This window comes from Homo sapiens, chromosome 5 (assembly GCF_000001405.40).
Source record: "Homo sapiens chromosome 5, GRCh38.p14 Primary Assembly".
Taxonomy (NCBI): Eukaryota; Metazoa; Chordata; class Mammalia; order Primates; family Hominidae; genus Homo; species Homo sapiens.
Window position 1 is genome coordinate 137,049,335 of NC_000005.10, and position 20,045 is coordinate 137,069,379.

Below are 20,045 nucleotides of genomic sequence, written 5' to 3' on the forward strand. Positions count from 1 at the left end.
CATTTCTTTTTATTCTGTTTTCTCTAAACTTCCCTTCTCGCTTCATTTCATTCATTTCATCTTCCATTGCTGATACCCTTTCTTCCAGTTGATCGCATCGGCTCCTGAGGCTTCTGCATTCTTCACGTAGTTCTCAAGCCTTGGTTTTCAGCTCCATCAGCTCCTTTAAGCACTTCTCTGTATTGGTTATTCTAGTTATACATTCTTCTAAATTTTTTTCAAAGTTTTCAACTTCTTTGCCTTTGGTTTGAATGTCCTCCCGTAGCTCAGAGTAATTTGATCGTCTGAAGCCTTCTTCTCTCAGCTCGTCAAAATCATTCTCTATCCAGCTTTGTTCCGTTGCTGGTGAGGAACTGCGTTCCTTTGGAGGAGGAGAGGCGCTCTGCGTTTTAGAGTTTCCAGTTTTTCTGTTCTGTTTTTTCCCCATCTTTGTGGTTTTATCTACTTTTGGTCTTTGATGATGGTGATGTACAGATGGGTTTTCGGTGTAGATGTCCTTTCTGGTTGTTAGTTTTCCTTCTAACAGACAGGACCCTCAGCTGCAGGTCTGTTGGAATACCCTGCCGTGTGAGGTGTCAGTGTGCCCCTGCTGGGGGGTGCCTCCCAGTTAGGCTGCTCGGGGGTCAGGGGTCAGGGACCCACTTGAGGAGGCAGTCTGCCCGTTCTCAGATCTCCAGCTGCGTGCTGGGAGAACCACTGCTCTCTTCAAAGCTGTCAGACAGGGACACTTAAGTCTGCAGAGGTTACTGCTGTCTTTTTGTTTGTCTGTGCCCTGCCCCCAGAGGTGGAGCCTACAGAGGCAGGCAGGCCTCCTTGAGCTGTGGTGGGCTCCACCCAGTTCGAGCTTCCCGGCTGCTTTGTTTACCTAAGCAAGCCTGGGCAATGGCGGGCGCCCCTCCCCCAGCCTCGTTGCTGCCTTGCAGTTTGATCTCAGACTGCTGTGCTAGCAATCAGCGAGATTCCGTGGGCGTAGGACCCTCTGAGCCAGGTGTGGGATATAGTCTCGTGGTGCGCCGTTTTTTAAGCCGGTCTGAAAAGCGCAATATTCGGGTGGGAGTGACCCGATTTTCCAGGTGCGTCCGTCACCCCTTTCTTTGACTCGGAAAGGGAACTCCCTGACCCCTTGGGCTTCCCAGGTGAGGCAATGCCTCGCCCTGCTTCGGCTCGCGCACGGTGCGCGCACCCACTGGCCTGCGCCCACTGTCTGGCACTCCCTAGTGAGATGAACCCGGTACCTCAGATGGAAATGCAGAAATCACCCGTCTTCTGCGTCGCTCACGCTGGGAGCTGTAGACCGGAGCTGTTCCTATTCGGCCATCTTGATAAATGACTATTTCTTAAAATTTACTTTAGAGAGGAAGATAAAAATGCCCATTATCTGCAGATGATATCATTTTCTAAAGAAAATCCAAAATGATAAACTAAAAACTGTCAGAATCAAGATTTCCTATTTGAAAGAAATAGTCATTTTAACAAAAATGGAAAACAGATTTCATTCACAAAAAGCAATCTCAAACATTGACTCTCTAGTCATAAATGTAATGAGAAATACTCCCGTATTCTGAAAGAAAACTGCAGACGTTTTCCAAGGAGGCTTGGAGAGATGTGTGCCACATTTCCAGATGGAACAACAACTTAACTCTAAAGTTATCAATTCTTCTCCAATTACTTTGTAAATCCAATCTAAATATCATTTCTTTAAAGTTTTCAAAATGATTTTGAATATCGTCGGAGAGAATAGATAAGAATACCCATGAAAAAATATGAAAAAGCGGATAACTTGTTAGGTGAAAAATGAATTATTGAGTAAAAGTCATTTTTTGAACTGGCTATTTAAAACACACACACAAAATACAGTTTCAGTTTTCCTATTATACCCCAAAAAGTATGAGACTGATTATTAGTAGTACTTTTCCAACTACGAGTTGCAATCTACGAATGGGTCCTCAAAAAATCTTTCCCAAACATGAGGTATGATAGCAGAGAAAAGAAAACAGGGCATGTCTTACAGAGTAAGGGCGCTGCCTGGTGAAAGCTTTGGGTATTGGCTTACTGTAGAAATGATTTCTTCCTGTTTGAATGCCACTGGCCTTATGCATCAAACATGAAAAATTCAAGCCATGACAGAACAAAATAGAAACATAGGTGAAATTTTATCTGGTCTCAGAGTAAGACAGAGATTTATAAACACATATCAATGCCAGAAATTCTAAACAAAAAGAATGATGGACCTGACTGGATAAAAACCTCAAAATCTTAGTTCATCAGAAACCACTGTTAAAAACAAATGACATATTGGGGGAAAAGTGAACTACATATGAAGAATTCATATCAAATTAAGGATATAAAAGAATAACCTGAGAAACTATTGAGAAAAAAAATCAGCATCCTAAAAGGGAAATCATAAAGGATATAGGGCATTTTAAAAATAATTACAAATAGCATACACGCACACATACACACCTTTAACCTCCAGTATGATCAAAGAAGTAAGAAATCAAAATGTGTAGGAGTCAGATAATTGTCTCCCAAGACCCATTCTTCTGCCTAGTAATGAGAACCTTGATTTTCTGCTGGCTTACTGCTTTTGACCTGAAAACTCTGTACTCCCCAGCATCTAGGTAGGACCATGCGTGACTGTACTCAGACTAAATTCAGACTGAGATGGCCATTGAGATGTAAGCAGAACTGTATCCAAATTCACAGAGGTCTGCTCAAAAGAAAGGGGTGCCCTTCTTTGCTCTTCAATTTTTCCCACTGACTGGACTAAAGCTGGAATGGCTGGAGCTCTAGCAGACATCTTGGACCATGAGGCAGACTTGTTTGAGCAACAAGAGTGGAGCCTGGTTCCCTTATGATTGAGGTTGCCTCATACAAGCCCTGGACTTCCTACCACTTGACTCATTTTATGTGAAAATGAAATACACCCTCTTTTGTTTAAACCACTGTTATTTAGGTTCAGGAGTGTCAGTCACCTACCGTTAAACTAAATCCCTGCTAAGAAAGCTACCTTTTTCTTAACCCACAAAGTGGAAAAATTCTTTTAAAAATTATAGTATCCAAAAATGACAGTGGTCCTCTGACTAGGCATTCCTACACATCACTTGTGGCACATCTTTTCTGAAAGAATTTCTGCTAGTATGTAACAGAAGACTTACAGTATACAAGCCATTTTACCCAGAAATTCTACTTCTAAAAATGCATCCTATGAAAATAATTAAGGTGTGTGCAAAATTAATATACATTGTTGTTCATAAAATCAGTATTTATAACTATAAATTAGAGAAGCTAAATGTTCAATAATAAAGGACTAGTTACAATAATTATAGTACTTTTATAGAATTGAACACCATGCAGCCATTAAAAATCAGTTTTTAAAAGAATAATTGATGATATGGGAATATAATTAAGTATTATTAAGCTAATAGTAAAGATTTTTAAATAGTATTTTATTATATTCAGTTTGGGAGGCTGGGTAATTTTAAAAATTTATTCTTTGTATTTTGCAGTATTTTTAAGTGTTCTATAATAAATATGTATAACTCCTATTTTTTTTTAATGCTCATTTTAAATGAGCCTATGTCTCCTGTCTTCCATCACATAACTGTCTTCTCCAGTTAGGTGGTTTCTTCTGTCCAACTGCAGGCACAGGGTGTTCTGGTCCAGCATGCCTTGTTGGCTGGTACCATGGGACAATTTTTCTGCTCCCTTTTCTGTCTTTCCAAGGCATGAGGAACACATGATTTATAACCATAGGTCAAATATTCCCTCTCCAGGACATTCTAAGCCCTTTAGCTAATTCTAGGAACTACATGCTCCTGAGACAAGAAGCATGACCTCTGAGCCACACTGTGATGTCCCTTAGCTGCTGCTCAGGGACAAGGAGGCAACAAACCAAGGTGCACAGGGCGCCAGAGGGCAAAGTAGTCAGTTGTGGTTATCACAGAAAGCCAATAAGGAAAGCCACCCAGAGAGTGTAGAGGCCAACTTGCATCAGAAGTCTTGGAGTAAACCAGAGATGGCTCCTGAGGCCATCTCTGGTCTCCTCCTCCCCTAGATACCAAGTTGCCATTGTTCCTGGCACCTTGACAACTTCTGACCTTGCACCAATATTGCCTGTAAAAAGGATGTGCTCTATCTCCATTAGAAAATGTGTTTAGCTGCAAATAAGAAAGCTTAGTTAACAGTGGCATAAATTCATGGGGATTTACTTTGTGACACAAGAAATCAGAAGAAAGGCAGTCACAATGTTGCTTCAGCTACTCCATAGTGCCACTGGGGACCCAGGTTCTTTCTGGGCTTCGGCTCAGTCATCCTTAATGGGTGGGGGGTGGGTCTGAAGCTTTAGGCTTGGCATCTTGTGGCTACAAAAGGGCTGCTGCAGCTCCACTCACACCTCTGCAAGGATAAAACACAGCACAAGCTCTGCCTGTCCCTGTTTGTTATAAAAGCAAAAGCTTTCTTAGAAATCTCTAGAAGACTTTACTTGCATTTCACGGGCCAGAACTGAATCACAGGGCCACATCCTCAGCTGGAAGAGACTGGGAAAATAAGAATGCAGGTGAGCTTATTCTTCCTCAAAGAAAACCAGAATCAAATGGCTATGGGCTAGACAACTAACAGTGTCTCTGCTACATGTCTACAAGACTAATTCTAGAATTCCAAGGTCTTTTGGAAGGCTGGTATTGTCAAATTGTACAAAGAGCAGATCCATGTCTGTGTGTATGTGTGTGTGCATGCGCATGCACACACATTAAAAAAGGAAGGAAAATGGTATACATTGAGCACCTTTTAGAACCAGCCACTTTCATAATTATCTCAATTAATTTGTTTCATTCTAATAACCTCACAAGATAGGCCTATCTATCTGTTTTTACAGATGAGAAAACTGAGACTCAGAGAAGTTAAGTAGCTTGCCCAAAGCCACATAGCTAGCAAGTTCTGGGGCTAGAATTCAACTTTACAATTGCCTGGTTCCACAGGCAATGCATTTTCTAGTGTATAAGACTCCCTCTCAACAAGTCTTATCATATATAATTGAAGGCAAATAATAGACAAGTGCAAACAAGTTTGCCTAAACCTTGAAGATACAGAGTTAGGCTCATGGAAGGTCAGGGGGACAGGAGTCTTCCTGTACAAGACAGAAAGCAAAGGCAGCACATGTGGCAGAGGCCACACTGTGATGTCCCTTAGCTGCTGCTCATGGGACAAGGAGGCAACAAACCAGGTGCACAGGGCCCCAGAGGACAAAGGAGTCAGTGTGGTTATCACAGAACGCCAACAAGGAAAGCCACCCAGAGAATTTAGAGGCCAACTTGAATCAGAAGTCTTGGAGTAAACCAAGAAGGAGGTCAGTCTCTGCCATATGGAGAATAAACAACTCATAATAGGAAGCAGAAATGCACTAATTTAATCTAGATATTTATTAAGTATTGCTCTAATTAAATTTGTAACAGACATATTACAAATTAATATTTACACTTAGTGGTGACCATACATTCGACAGATCCTATGCTGGGGATATAAAGATAAATTAGACATAATCCCTGCTTTCTAGAAGGTCACAATCTAATGAGTTTACAGTGCCAGTACATAAGGTCCAAAATGTAATAGAATCACTTGTATTTTTAAATAGGTTTCCTTGTTTCAACCACATGAAATGAAACCTAGTTCTTCTGACCACAGAGACCACAATGGTAGTATGTCAAAATTATAGAAACGTACTCAGCAATAAAAATTATTGGAGTCCTGGACTTATAAACTCTGCTCTATAAAGACATGGAAAACAGCTCAGCTCGACACAATTATTACCCTGAGACATAAGTGAGCTCCATATGCAGACCCATGAGCAACACACTGTGGTTGTATCTGGTCCTAAGAGTTCTTGTTATCCCACTTAAGGGAGAAAGAGCATAGGACCTGGGCACAGAACAGGCACTTAATAAATGCCAGCTGGCTGGATGGACAGCTGAATGGATGAAGATACATTACTCATTACCAACAGACCCAGTCACTGTCCTCAATTTTAGGGCAAAAAAAACCCTCTGGGGGTATTGTTTTAAGCTTTAAATTTTAAATATAGCTCAGAGGCCTTGAGAAGCAAGGTACACGAAGTAACAGATCTGTGTTATTTTAACTCACTATGCTTTCCCCAAGTAGGCAAGTTTCCTCTTGGGCACAATGGTAATCAGATATTAAGCCAACTATTTCACAACACAGAACTATGTATAATTCTTATAACAGGAGCTCTTCACTCAAAAGAGAACAAATGCTTGTAATCTCCAGATACTCCCTCCTCTGGCTATAAATGTTCTGTGTTCTCACAAGGGCACAAGGAAACACTAAACAGAATGTTCTATACCACAGGATGCTACACCTCTGTCATCAAGGCAAAAATACTTGCTTCTTGAGACACCTTGAGCCCTTCTCTCTAGTCAGGGAGGTGGGCTGTAGGGAAAGAACAGACTGCCTGAGCTTGCTTCTGATGATGGCATCTTCCCAGTGCAGAGGAGCCAGAAACGCACAGCAGTTACCTGTTAGCCTGAGGTCGTGCCCCAGAATGACCCATGTAGGGAAGTACATAGACAAGTACCTTCAGGTGGAGGAACCTGCCTCTTTGACTTCGGGACCTAAGTCACCTACAAAACCCAACTTTTCCAAGGGCTGGGACCACCAAAATCTCAAGTACATAAATGTGCCTGGAAAACAGTAAGACCCTATACATTTCCTCAGTTACTTCATTCCACAAATGATTGAAGTCAGTCTAATCTGTGCCATGCACTGTCCTGGGCATGGTACACACAGCAGCCAACAGGCTGTAGGAAAAGCTGGAGCTGAAGACCCTGGTGGACAAGACAGGCTGGCAGGTGTGAATCACAGACAGAAGTCTGGCAGGTGAGGGGACGCTGTTGCAGCTACACAACCATGTGGGGGTGGGGGACAGGGGGTCTATGGGAAGTACAGATGCCAGATCCTGGAGGCTGGGGAGAACCAGCAGTATCCTACCCTAAAGGAACCAGGTCATAGACTGAGATCTGGATTTAGATGAGGTCAAGGGAGTAAGGGGACATGATGCCGTCCACTCCAAGCTACTGTCCTGGAGTGCAAAAACTCCCTGGTGACTGGCCTGGCTTAGGATATAATATCCTAAATTCTAAGATTTTGGGAGATACAGGGAGAGAGATTTAGGCCTCTTCAGCCTCTGTAATACTTCTCAGGGGTAGTTCCATAGGATTAGTAGCCCTCATAAAAAAGGACTTTTATTTTTTTTTTTAACTTAGTTTTTTTGCAAGTCATTTTCCGGAGTATTTCTTGGCTGCGGCTATGATCACATCTGTTTTTGAGTGAAGCCCAGGAGATCTACTTGGTTGACAGCCTCACTCCACTTCCACACATGACTTGGTGGCAACAGCCATTTAGCAGACTCAAGCTTGGACCAAACATAGTAAGGCCAAGGAGTCCAGAGTAAATTGGTGCTCTCTTGGCTAGGATGAGAGGAGACAGGCACATGTAACTACCTTCTTGAGACCCTCCCCCCACCACCGACTGCTATGCAACAGGTGGGCTAGGTTTGTTCATTCAAGATCCTTCTACATGGTAAAATTTACGCAAGTATGAAGGACCTGCCTCCAGGAAGACCTGCTACTACATCACTGGGAAACTTGAAAGCAGGGCTTCCCACATTATGCAGACCCTATGGTCTCCTCTCTACTAATATCACTGTTCCTCACCCTCCCAGTACTTCCCCTAAATTGTTCTGAAGTTATTGCTGCTTTAAGCTCATTCTAAGCCTTGAAATAATAAGATTCATAACCAGATCTCCTACTGTGTCAGCAGGTCTTTTCTCTTGCCATAGAGCGCTGCTCACTCTTTTCAAGCAGGAGGGCCTTAGAGGTGACCTTTCTGGGACTAGGAGAGGAACACAGGGTTTTACTCTAATTACTTCTTTGTGATTTGAACACATCTCAGTTCCCTCTTTTACTTCAGTCTCTTCAGAATAAGGAGAGAGCTGGATGGTTGTTTGTGTTTTGGTTGCAGCTCTAACCAACCTGAACATCTATCACTATACATTCAACCAACTATTGATTCTGAGCTTTATCTGGCATCATTATATATTCCTCAAGTTAAATTATCAAAGTGACATTCCTGCTTTATATGTAATTGCCACTTTGGGTTTTCAAACAGAGAATCATCATCATTGATATGACAATGATGATAAAAGTTATATTTTGTGAACTGTAACTCTACTTTTATAGCTAAAATTGAGCTCATTTGATTCTTACTACACCTGTTGGACTGGGGCCACACCTTTCTTTGCTCTCTGCCCTGTCAAAGGCCTAGCTCCCAATACACCACTTGGATCTAGGAAAGAGGCCTACCAACATTTCACTAAGCAGTCTGCTTTGTGGGGTGGAAGCCACTTACTTTCGTCTGGTGATAATTTCAATTTATTTTTTATTGTAATGCTGTCTTTTCTTTTCACAGTAATGGATAGCAGGGCAATGGAAGAACAGTCAACCTCAGGACAGATTACAAATGAATTTTTATCTTTAAGAGCTAGGTTGGAAACTTGTAGCTATCAGAAAAGCATAATATGGTGATGAACAATGAGCCCATGCCAGTGTTTTGATAAACTTCAGAGAGCTAAGCCTGCTTGAGAAAAAGACAGGAGAAAATGTGTGAGGACATTAATTCTTTCACTTTGGAAAAATCCCATCAGTGAAGGCTGTGATCTCGTAAAGGGCTATATTCTCTGAGTACCGAAAGCATGGGAAAATTTAGCTTAAAGTGTGCGGATGGACACGTGTGGAAGAGTGGGGTGTGCACTTTTTCTTTTTTCAAAGGAAGCCCGACCTTTCAGTGGACATTGAATTTAGGTTAAGAACACAGTATAATGTAAGGGTAAGAGCACAAGTTCCAGAAAAGGTTTCAGATCCCTGTTCTGTCATCTATTATCTGTGTGGCCTTAGGCAAGGTACTGAACAGATCCAAATCTCAAATTTTCTCACCAGCAAAGGAGATAACATTATTTGGCTGTTAGGGGGATTAAACATATGTATAAAGTGCTTAGCACAATTCACAAATTAAGCACTTTATACAGACTATCTTGTGCCATAAATCATCTGTTTACTATTTTAAACATTGTATATTATGGTACATATGTACAATGGACAACATTTTAAAAAGAATGAAGTAGATTCATTTGACATTTGTCAGTCATTGAAAATCTAGACAAAAAGACTTCCTGTAACTTCCATTCTACTTGGGCAAGATAGACAATAAAGAAAAAAGGTAAGCAAACGAATATATTAGAAGGTGATAAATGATACAGAGAAAAATAAATAGGAGAAGGTAGGTAGGAAGTTCAGGGGAAGGTTTCCTGAGAAGGTGACATTTGTGCAAAGATTTAAAGAGGTGGTTGACGGAGTGGCCCCATGGATGTCTGGGGAAGAGGGTCCTGGCCTAGGAGATGGTCAGTGCCAAGCCCTGAGGCAGTGGTGAGAAGGGCACATTTGAGGAGCTCCAGGGAGACCTGTGTGCCTGGAGCTGAGCACACAAGGATCAGAGCAGCAAAAGATGGGGACAGACACGTAACAGAGGACCAGAGCATGTTGCCTTGCAGGTCACTGAAAGGACTTTAACTTTTCCTCTTAATCTTAACAAGATGGAGTGTCTTGAACAGGGGACTACATAATCTGATTTACATTTTACAGAATCAGCTGGACTACCATGTGCAAAAAAAAGAAGGTAAGGACCAGGAGATCAATTAGGAAGCTATTATAATACAAGACAAGGATGTCTTAAAGTTTGATTTTAGACATTAAGCTTGATATGCCTAGGGGCATCCAAGTGGAAATGCTAAGTAGTCATTACATATTTAAGTCTGGAGTTCAAGGAAGCAGGCAGGTTAGCTGGTGACAGACAGGCAAATACACACATATCTAGATAGGTCTACATGTACTTACGTGAAAATATATGTATGATATATAAAAGGCAGGGTGCAAAACATTATGTAGAATATAATCCCAATTATGGATGAGTAAAGTTAAAAAATTATTATATGCATATAGAAATAATTGAAGGTAAATGCAAAATAAATAAATAACCAAACTGGGATGATGGATTAAAGACTTAAATGCGAAACCTAAAACTATAAAACCTCTTCAAGAAAACCTAGGAAATGCCATTCTAGACATAGACCTTGGCAAAGATTTTATGACAAAGATGCCAAAAGCAATTGCAACAAAAACAAAAATTGACAAATGGGACCTCATTAAACTAAAGAGCTTCTGCATAGCAAAAGAGAGTAAATAGACATCAACAGAGTAAATACACAACCCACAGAATGGGAGAAAATATTTGCAAATTATGCATCTGACAAAGGTCTGATAGCCAGAATCTATAAGGAACTTAAATTAACAAGTAAAAAACAAACAACTCCCTTAAAAAGTGGGCAAGGGACATGAACATTTTTCAAAAGAAAACATATACATGGCCAACAAGCATATGAAAAAATGCTCAACATCACTAATCATTAGAGAAACATATCAAAACGACAATGAAATAGCATCTCACATGATTCAGAATGGCTATTATTAAAAAGTCAAAAAATAACAGATGCTGGCAAGGCTGCAGAGAAAAGGGAACACTTATATACTGCTGATGGGACTGTAAATTAGTTCAGCCACTGTGGAAAGCTATTTGGCAATTTCTCAAAGGATTTAAAAGAGAACTACCATTTGACCCAACAATCCCATTATTGGGTATTTACCCAAAGGAATATAAATTGTTCTACCATAAAGACACCTGCATACGTCTGTTCATCACAGCACTATTCACAATAGCAAAGACATGCAATCAACCTAAAAGCCCATCAGTGGTAAACTGCATAAATAAAATGTGGTACACATGTACCATAGAATACTACATAGCCATAAAAAAGAGTGAGATCATATCCTTTGCAGCAACATGGATGGAGCTGGAGGCCATTATCCTAAGCAAACTCATGCAAGAACAGAAAACCAAACACTGCATCATCCTACTTATAAATGGGAGCTAAACACTGAGTATACATGGACACAAAGAAGGGAACACTAGATACCAGGGCCTACCTGAGGGTTGAGTGTGGGAGGAGGGTGAGGATCAAAAAATTACCGATTGGGTATGCTTATTATCTGGGAAATGAAATAATCTGTACACCAAACCCTCATGACATGCAATTTATCTATAGAACCAACCTGCACTTATACCCCTAAAACTAAAAGTTAAAATAAAAAGAATGTATGTTAATTTTGTACATAAAAAAAAAAACAGTAAGTGCAGGATAAGAGTGCTGTCTGGGCAAACTATCAAAGCCATTAATTTCTAGCACAAACCTCTATCCCGTTCACTGAACTCTGGTTCCGACCGCAGCTACCCTTTGCCTCAGCTTATCCTTCTTTCTCTGTTCACCTTTAGCTTTCCCCAATCACTTGCTATCAAATAGACTTCAGAGGACCAGGAAAACCTGTGGTGCACTTTCCCAGAGTTGAACTCACAGAAGAGGAAGAATCTGAGATCAAAGTCAAAGTCAGCAGTTACCTCAGAGTCCTGACAAATGAATTTTTCTTCTTTGATGCAGTTGCCAATTTAATTCTCAAGCATTTTTTTAAGGTCATGACATTTAGAATAACAAGGCCCTAAAAAATATTCCTTTATGTGCTTAATTTCTGACCCAAATGTAGTACTGAATGACAAGTGAATGAAGCTGAATATGTATCGAAAGGTTAGTATAAACTGCTTTTAAATTCCAAGTTTGCAAGCCCAAGGCTTTCACTCTCTTACACAACGGGCATTAAACAAAAATGTTCTTTCCTGGATGCAAAGATAAATCTCTATTTTTCTAGGAGCCTCTGCAGCAGGATTCTTTCAGGAATTTTCCATTGAGACATTACAGCTAGGAGGAACTCCTTACCCCATTCCCTTTTTCACCGCCTCCTGTTCCCTTTTATCCACGTTTCCAGCTCCACTTGTGATAAGTAATGGAATTGGACAACCGTCTGTCAACCCAAGACAGTTTCCCCCAGAATCTAGCCCTCGGGTTGAAAACACCGTTTGAGAAAAGAAAATCACTGTAGACTATTTTTCTACTGTTCTAAATAGCTCAGCTGGAGGGAAGTTGTTATTTCCTCTTTAGCATGCCCTGTTGGAAAAACTTGCAGTTCTCTTTCCTCCCCTCCTGCACCAAACCTGCCCCCATCCTGCTCCTACCTCCCAGCTCATGTCAGGCCAGGAAGTGGGTAACAGTTCCACAGCCTTCTCCATAATTTCTTAGGCTGGAGCCACATCCCTTCTGATCTAATCTGTGCCAACAGAAGAAAAGAAGGAGCTGTCCTTGGAGAATGTTCTGTTTCCTCTTCTAGAGATAGAGTGGAGGGGGCGGGTGGGAGGGCGTCTGTAGGATGCCATTCTAAACCTTGCTGGTTTGGGAGTGTGGTGACATTCTCTGCCTGATGGTTAATACTGTAAGATGTGGGCAAGTGACTTCAGACCCAGGAGAAATTAAATTTAACTCCCATCATACAGACCTGCCACCATCTTCAGGCTAAAGATGCTGCTGACTGTGACTGAGGATGTACCCACACGTGATAGGAACAAACTCACTAGACCCAGGGTCAGGTGAGCTGTCAGCTGATGGCACGCAAGGATCTTTTCTCAGTGAGCCTCCAGGGTTCTCTTCTGGTGAATGTGGACTGAATAAAGACCAGTGGTGGTCAAACTCTTCCCACAGGTGTAATCTAAGTGGTAACGTGTAAGAATGGAGTCACTCTGGAGGAGATCTGAGGCCCCACCCATTTGGCCTTCCCCTGGTCCGTATGGGGAAAGCTGTGGCACCTTGGAGGAACAGAGAAGACTCCTCAACATGGTGTGGATAAGTGAGACTCTTCTTGATCCAAAATCCTACAACCCTGCCAAGTCCTCACCTCGGGGAAGGGGAAGCTCCAAATCCCTTCTCAGATGAGGTGCAGGGAATGGGGCTGCTATGCTCAGGCCAGAAGGGAGTGGTTTATGTCCCTGAAACAGGGGAAGTAGGGCAGAGCAGGCAGATGCTCAGGTTCAGAAGGGGTGGAGTATGGGCTAGCTGAAAAATCTACCTTAAAGCCTCCACTTTTGAGAGACCTCTATTTCCTCTTGAGATTTTCAAGCATTATAAATAATAATAATAATAATAATAATAATAATAATAAAGACAGCACCTCAGACTTTCCTCATGGTTTTCACCGAGTACTGAAGAAAAAGCATCAGCAATGCCCTGGAGCTGAAGAATTCAGGTCAGAGCTAAAAAGTGACTTTGCTGACGGGGCTGACTGTTGGGTCCTAAAAAATACCAAGAGAAACTGGGAGAGACCTTTCCTGAAAAAAACAAAAAAATGCACAGAACCCCAGCCCAACGCAGAGATTTCAATTTCATCTCCCTCTTTTTAACTGTGTTTTCCTTTATTTGTTTTTTGTTTTTGTGGATAACCATTGCTTCATACTCTTGAGGCTGGACTGGCTTTATGGAGATGAGAGAGATAAGGCAATGAAGTCACCTGCCCTTGTCAGGAGGTAATTTAGAGATGTAGTAAGAAATATTCAGGGCCGGGCGCGGTGGCTCACGCCTGTAATCCCAGCACTTTGGGAGGCCGAGGCGGGTGGATCATGAGGTCAGGAGATCGAGACCATCCTGGCTAACAAGGTGAAACCCGTCTCTACTAAAAATACAAAAAATTAGCCGGGCGCGGTGGCGGGCGCCTGTAGTCCCAGCTACTCGGGAGGCTGAGGCAGGAGAATGGCGTGAACCCGGGAAGCGGAGCTTGCAGTGAGCCGAGATTGCGCCACTGCAGTCCGCAGTCCGGCCTGGGCGACAGAGCGAGACTCCATCTCAAAAAAAAAAAAAAAAAAGAAAGAAATATTCGGAAATTTTAAAAGATGGTCCCACCTTCCACCATCTCTTCAGGTTCCACCATCTCTTCAGGGGACATGCCAAAGGAGAGATGCCAGATAAACAAAGAGAACAACAACAACAAAAAAATCTTGGCTTTGACTTCTGAAAAAAAAAAAAAACAGATGAAACTTAAAGGTGAGACAAGAGAGTTCTGATTTGCCAGAGCTGAAGATGTTATAACTCAAAAGACCAAAGGCTGGAAGAGGCAGAGAAGCAGAGCACACTAGGAGATTGGAAGAGAGTGAGTTAGACCTGCCTCATACATCCTCCACACTGACATCCAGTGTTGACCAAAGTGGGGCTATAAGAAGTAAACCTCTGAAAAGGAGAAGACCATGCAGGTGAGTGTTGGATTCTCCTCTCCATAATTCTCCCCATCTCTCACCCAGTTCTGGACCCTAGGTTGGGAAGAGGTGATTCTGAAACCTGAGACAGGTGGGGAGCCCTGGCAGTAAAGAGGACCTGTGTTTGGCTACCAGCTTGAAAGCCAATTTGAGGCAAGCCTCATAAAACTGTACTCTGCATTGAATAGAAACGGTTGCCAGGCACCTCTAAAAGAACCTAATGCATATCTTGGTCTAACAGAACAGATCCATGAAGAGAAGGCTTGGGATAGCAACCTCACTACAGTCTTTTTTGATGCCAGAAAACCACGGAAGGGCCTCCTCAAGTTTTCTGTGCCCCTGAACAGGGCCAAGAAGAAGCTGAGAGGGCTAGTAAACCCAGAGAAATCTAACAGAGAAGAAAGAGGATTCACCGTGACCTTAGTGGACAAGGTGAGTACAGGTCTCTCGGTAGATGCAGTGAGAATGAACACCACTGGCCTAACTGAAGATGTTAAGAACTCCATCCAAGGGGATGGATCCCAAAGAAAAAGAAAACACCAGGAAAAGCCTCCCACCAATACTGTAGCTCATAAGCCCTCAGCCCACTTCTACTTCCTGGAATTCAGGTACAGCCCTGCATTAACAGAATTGACCTGGGAGTGACTTTATGTTTCACCTCAGAAATGAGGTTCAGAATAGAGGTAAGGTTGAAAATAAAATATCACCACAACAGTTTGTGTGTGTGTATGTGTGCGTGTGTGTGCGTGTGTGTATTGCCACAGTTTTTACAGACCTGCATTTATAAGACTGTAAACTCTCATTTCTGCAATAGGCACAGAAATAAGACAGCTCCTCCTACGGTCCAGAGCCACAATGTGTCTCAGAGGCCAGGACTGCCTGTGGACACCATGCCCACTGCCTGCAGCTTCTGGAAGGGGCTGCTGACAGGTAAGGGGAGGTGGACTGCATGCTCAGCTCTTCTTCCTCCCTCTGTCCACGGCTAAGTTGCCAACTCAAAGTTTCCTTTTATTTCACCTCTGACCTCTCCCTTGTACCCATGCCCTCCTCTTCATTTGAACTGCCACCACCTCAGGTCAGCCCTGTTGCCTGTCATAAATTATTGTGAGAGCTGCATGGAAAGAGGTGTCAAATCAAAGGAAAAGGTCAGCCTTCTCTTGCTCAATTTTGTCCAGGTAAAGCATTATTACTTAAATGTTTCATTTCAAAGAATGACTCTGGGGATTTATCAATGCCCTCACTCCCCCAAATGTGTTCTTATCCTGTAGGAAAACACTGATCAAATCCATATTAGATAGTTTGGCCAGGCCTAGTAGCTCACATCTGTAATCCCAGCACTTTGGGAGGCCGAGGCAGGAGGACTGCTTGAGGCCAGGAGTTCAAGACCAGCCTGAGCAACATGGCGAAACCTTGTCTCTACTAAAAATACAAAAATCAGCTAGGCGTGGTGGTGCACGCCTCTACTCCCAGCTACTAGGGAGGATGAGGCAGGGGAATTGCTTGAACCCAGGAGGCAGAGGTTGCAGTGAGCTGAGATCGCACCACTGCACTCCAGCACGGGTGACAGAGCGAGATTTCATCTCAAAAAAAAAAAAAAAAAGAATCCATATTAGATAGTTAAACATGTACCCTAATAGGTGATTATTTTCTCCTGCATTAGGATACTGTTGGTACTGTCATAAATTAACTACCACCAACAGGTAGCTTCTGCTTCCCCTCATGCTTACGTGAAAACTTTGCTGTAAGTCAGAGCCTAGAAATGAGGTCTTTAACAATGAAGGACAGTCTTAGAACCTCATGGAAAGAATCGTACCAAGTTTGAACTACTGACACTTCAATTAACAGACTCATTGGTGCAGGCTTCCAAGGTGGTATTTCTTAGATAATTTCCAAAGGGTGTTCATAAAAGCAAACTGTTGACCCAAGATCTGGTGGAGCAAAAATAATTATATTGGACTAAAGGAACTGATGAGGAAATAGAATTTTAGTTGTTTTATAATATTGTTGGTATTATTTTTAATGTTCTATTTTCTGATATCACAGAGTGTTTTCTGTTTTTTCCTGATCTCTCACCATTAACTTAGTAGTCTGTGCTTTTGTAAACATTTTGAAATGAAAGATTTTTAAATGGTAATCTTGTTCTCACTGGCCTTTCAGAATTCAGGAACAACACTTTGTCTGAGTCTCTTTACTTTTAATGGCAATGGGGTTACTTGTATAGATTCAGTAAGAATCTGTTCTCATTTTTACTCGTAAATAATTGAACAAATAGATGGCACAGTCAAGGCCACACCTGGAGTGTCAGTCTCATCTGCTTAAATATGAAGCCCATCATTAAGAAACAAGGGTTGTTTTTTATTTGCAAAATCATGAGGCCCTCCCAGAAACCTGGACTGTTACCTTATAATGGCAGACTTGGAGGCCATCTCTCTTAAGGAGAGATGCATTCACCCTCATTTGTAGATGCTACAGGCAAAATAGTGGCAATGACTTTATTTTATTTTTTATTTTTGAGATGGAGTCTCACTCTATTGCTCAGGTTGAAGTACAGTGGCGCAATCTTGACTCACTGCAACCTCCACCTCCCGAGTTCAAGCAATTCTCCTGCCTCAGCCCCCTGAGTAGCTGGGATTACAGGCACCAGCCACCACACCTGACTGATTTTTGTATTTTTGGTAGAGATGGGTTTTCGTCATGTTGGCCAGGCTGGCCTTGAACTCCTGACCTCCAGCTATCCACTCACCTTGGTCTCCCAAAGTGCTGGGATTACAGGTGTGAGCCACCACACCCGGCTGGCAACATGGCAATGTCTAGCCTCAGAATAAAAGCAATAAACAATATACCTAGAATAAGAGAGGCTTCTGAAATTTCCTAAGATTTTTAAGAAATCTCCAGACAGAAGTTAATTTTCTGGGCTACGTAGTTGCTTAACACCACATGGCTTTAGATTTTCTGACCAGACTACAAAGAGGCTTATGTATATTAGTTAACTTTTCTTACTGCATTTATAACTAAATGAATCAGGCCTAACTGCAATGAGATTAGCTTTTTAGAAATCAAGAATAATAACTGGAGATTATTTGTAATCACAGTGTTTCATGGTTTACAACGTCCTTCCACATCCTGACTTAAACCTCCTAAAGAGCCTTTAAACACAATATTCCTGAAGTCACCATGATCACATTTAGATTTGAAATCTTCATCATTTATTTGCCCTGGAAAAGACAACATAGCTTATAAAGAGCCAGATAGATAAACGCTCATACCCCATTCATTCCACTCCATTACAAATCACTCCTAGATTTTAAAACATAAGCATACACACACACACACACACACACACAGAGAGAGAGAGAGAGAGAGAGAAATGCAACAATTTCCAAGAAAAGCCAACTACAGCTGAGAAAGCTGAATTCCACAGAAGGCAAATTCAAACGTCTATCTTGGGTCTCACCAAGGAAGGCTCAAAAAGAGGCTGAGACCAGTGGGACAACATTACTTTCTCCATCATGAAAACATCCAAATGAGCCCAAGCTTTCCTGGCCCTCTCAGCCACAGAAGAGAAACAGTTACCCTTAGGGAGGTATTCTCTTTCATCTGTCCCCTGGCTCTGTGCTGCCTTACAAGCAGAATATATTAATAAAGAAATACTTTAGGGGAGAACTCTCTCCACTGTTGTGACATCTCTGCAGTCTCTGTTTTGATATTTGGCCTTGAGAAGTTCAAAGGATTCAAAAGATTAGAGTTCAAGAAAGACTAAGATGTACCCCAGGGCAGGTCCGGTCTTAGATGCTGAAAAACAGCTCCTCCCACACCATAGCGAATATGACCTCTAAAAGAACCTAGTGGATATCCTGGTCTAACAGGATTATTTTCAAAGGCTCTTGTTCATCTTTTTAATGGTAGTTGAAGGCAATTCGGTTTAGGGTCCCTAAATCTGGAGTACTTACCTGTCATGTCTGCTCATTTCTCCAGTTTGTTCCTAGTGCCTGGGACAGAGCTCGGCCACATCAACCCTCTGTGACCCCCCATTCCTGCCCACGAATTCTCTGAAGGAAACCCTCACTCACCACTCCTTTCTGCCTTGTGCTTTGGTGGCTCAGGCTCTGGGAGACAGGGACAGGGCCCATCACAGAGGGTGGCGAGGCTTTTGCCAGTAGAACAAGCATGGAACTCCAATTTGCACTGCAAAAGAGAGACACAACAGGTCTTAAGAATGCAGCCATAACAGACCCCTACCCCGCCTCCTAAGAAACAGCAGTGCCCTTTGCTTCACAAAAGCAAAGACAAAGCAGGGAGAGGTCGACCTCAGGTAGAGGTCTCAATTACAGAATACTAAATAAGAAATGGCCTTTTATATTTTACCAAATGCAGAGGATAACTTCTAAAAACACTGTGGAAGCCCTAGAAGACTTCCTTTAATGATGGTAAACCCTACTGTCACTATTTCTAAAATAAAATTATTAATATGAAACTTAACATCTGTAGAGTCCTATCTGGTCCAGGAACCCCCTCCATTCACTTTGAGGCATCTTCTCCACACTCCTCCCGTGTGGAGGTAACACCGCTGGAATACCACTCCTGGTCCCTCTCAGCCTGCTCACATGCTCTTCCTGGGAGGGAAGAGTAACAATCCCTTTAGTAAGTCTGTATGGTAATCTGAGGCTCAGCCCCTTCCCCTTGGGAGCAATGAAGAATGAATGCTCTTGCTTCCGTTGTCCAAAACCTAAGTTTACACGGGTCTTCCCCCATCAGAGGATGCCTGTGGTCTAACTAGCTTGTGACTCCGTGGAAATGTTTACCTAATTCTAGGATTAAATATTAGAAGCCCATAATCCACATCCTCTTGTCAACCCTTTATCAGTAGCAATGGTAATATTTTAGTCATTTTTCTGTCAGCTCTTTACTCTAAAGTCTCAATGAATTCTCAGAACACAGGCAGGAGAGAGGAATGTTATTAATAGGTGCAAAAGACCACAACAATTATCAGCATTTGTATTATTCTTGCATTATGGAAGAGGAAATTAAGACTCAGGTTAAGTAACTTGCAAAAGATCACAAAGCTCAGGGCCAAGCACTTAATGCATTCCACAACACTGTGTATATGGGGCTTCGGAATACAGACATCCCATACTGAACTGTGTGTGGCTAATTATGCAACTTTGCTATTGGCCTGGATCTGTGTTGTCTGAGACTTTACTCCTTTTTTGTCTGTAAATTTCTCAAGATCAAGACCGGTGTGTAATCAGTCCTCTGCAAAGACCCACGGGCCCAGGACCACATGCATATCTGGTGGAGGTTCAAAGGAAGAAGAGATAGGTGAAATTTAACAAGCACCCACTGTGCATGCAGCTCTTATCAGGTGCCATGGGGAATCTTTTAAATGAAAGAAAAGAGGAGATACAGTCCTTGCCCTTGGAAAACACAAATGCATACCTTTGAAAAAAGTCCACTAGCATTTGCAAAGCCACACACGAGTGCAGATAAATACTGGCTCATTGTAAGAGGACAAGCTATTCAGTCCCTATACCGATTAGAAACGGAGGGAAAGAATACTTTAAACCTGGTTCTAATGTACTGAAGTCACTCCTGTGTCACTCCAATGATCACCCATACAGTCACCGGCTGCCCATTCAGGGAGAGGGCAACAGAGCAAACCTACAGAATGCTGGCTCCCTCTTGATACAAAACTTCCTCTTGTGCATATTTGTTCAGTGCCTAGTACGTGCCCAGCA

At 42.2% G+C, this 20,045-nt stretch overlaps 1 protein-coding gene across 1 annotated transcript in view, besides 1 other annotated feature; it reads right to left on the bottom strand.

Annotated features, from left to right (window-relative positions):
* The window catches only part of SPOCK1 (SPARC (osteonectin), cwcv and kazal like domains proteoglycan 1), a 524,029-nt gene that overhangs the window by 74,037 nt on the left and 429,947 nt on the right, over nt 1-20,045 (bottom strand). The window contains exon 6 of the mRNA NM_004598.4: nt 18,381-18,495. Within this exon, the coding sequence (NP_004589.1) occupies nt 18,381-18,495 (115 nt within the window). The remainder of the gene's footprint in view (nt 1-18,380; nt 18,496-20,045) is intronic.
* Nucleotides 470-1,098: an enhancer, noted in NCBI's record as "OCT4-NANOG-H3K27ac-H3K4me1 hESC enhancer chr5:136385493-136386121 (GRCh37/hg19 assembly coordinates)". NCBI's record gives its function as "activates a minimal SCP1, AML or CMV promoter by ChIP-STARR-seq in primed H9 embryonic stem cells {active_cell/tissue: H9 hESC(primed)}" and the evidence as "EXISTENCE:reporter gene assay evidence [ECO:0000049][PMID:30033119]".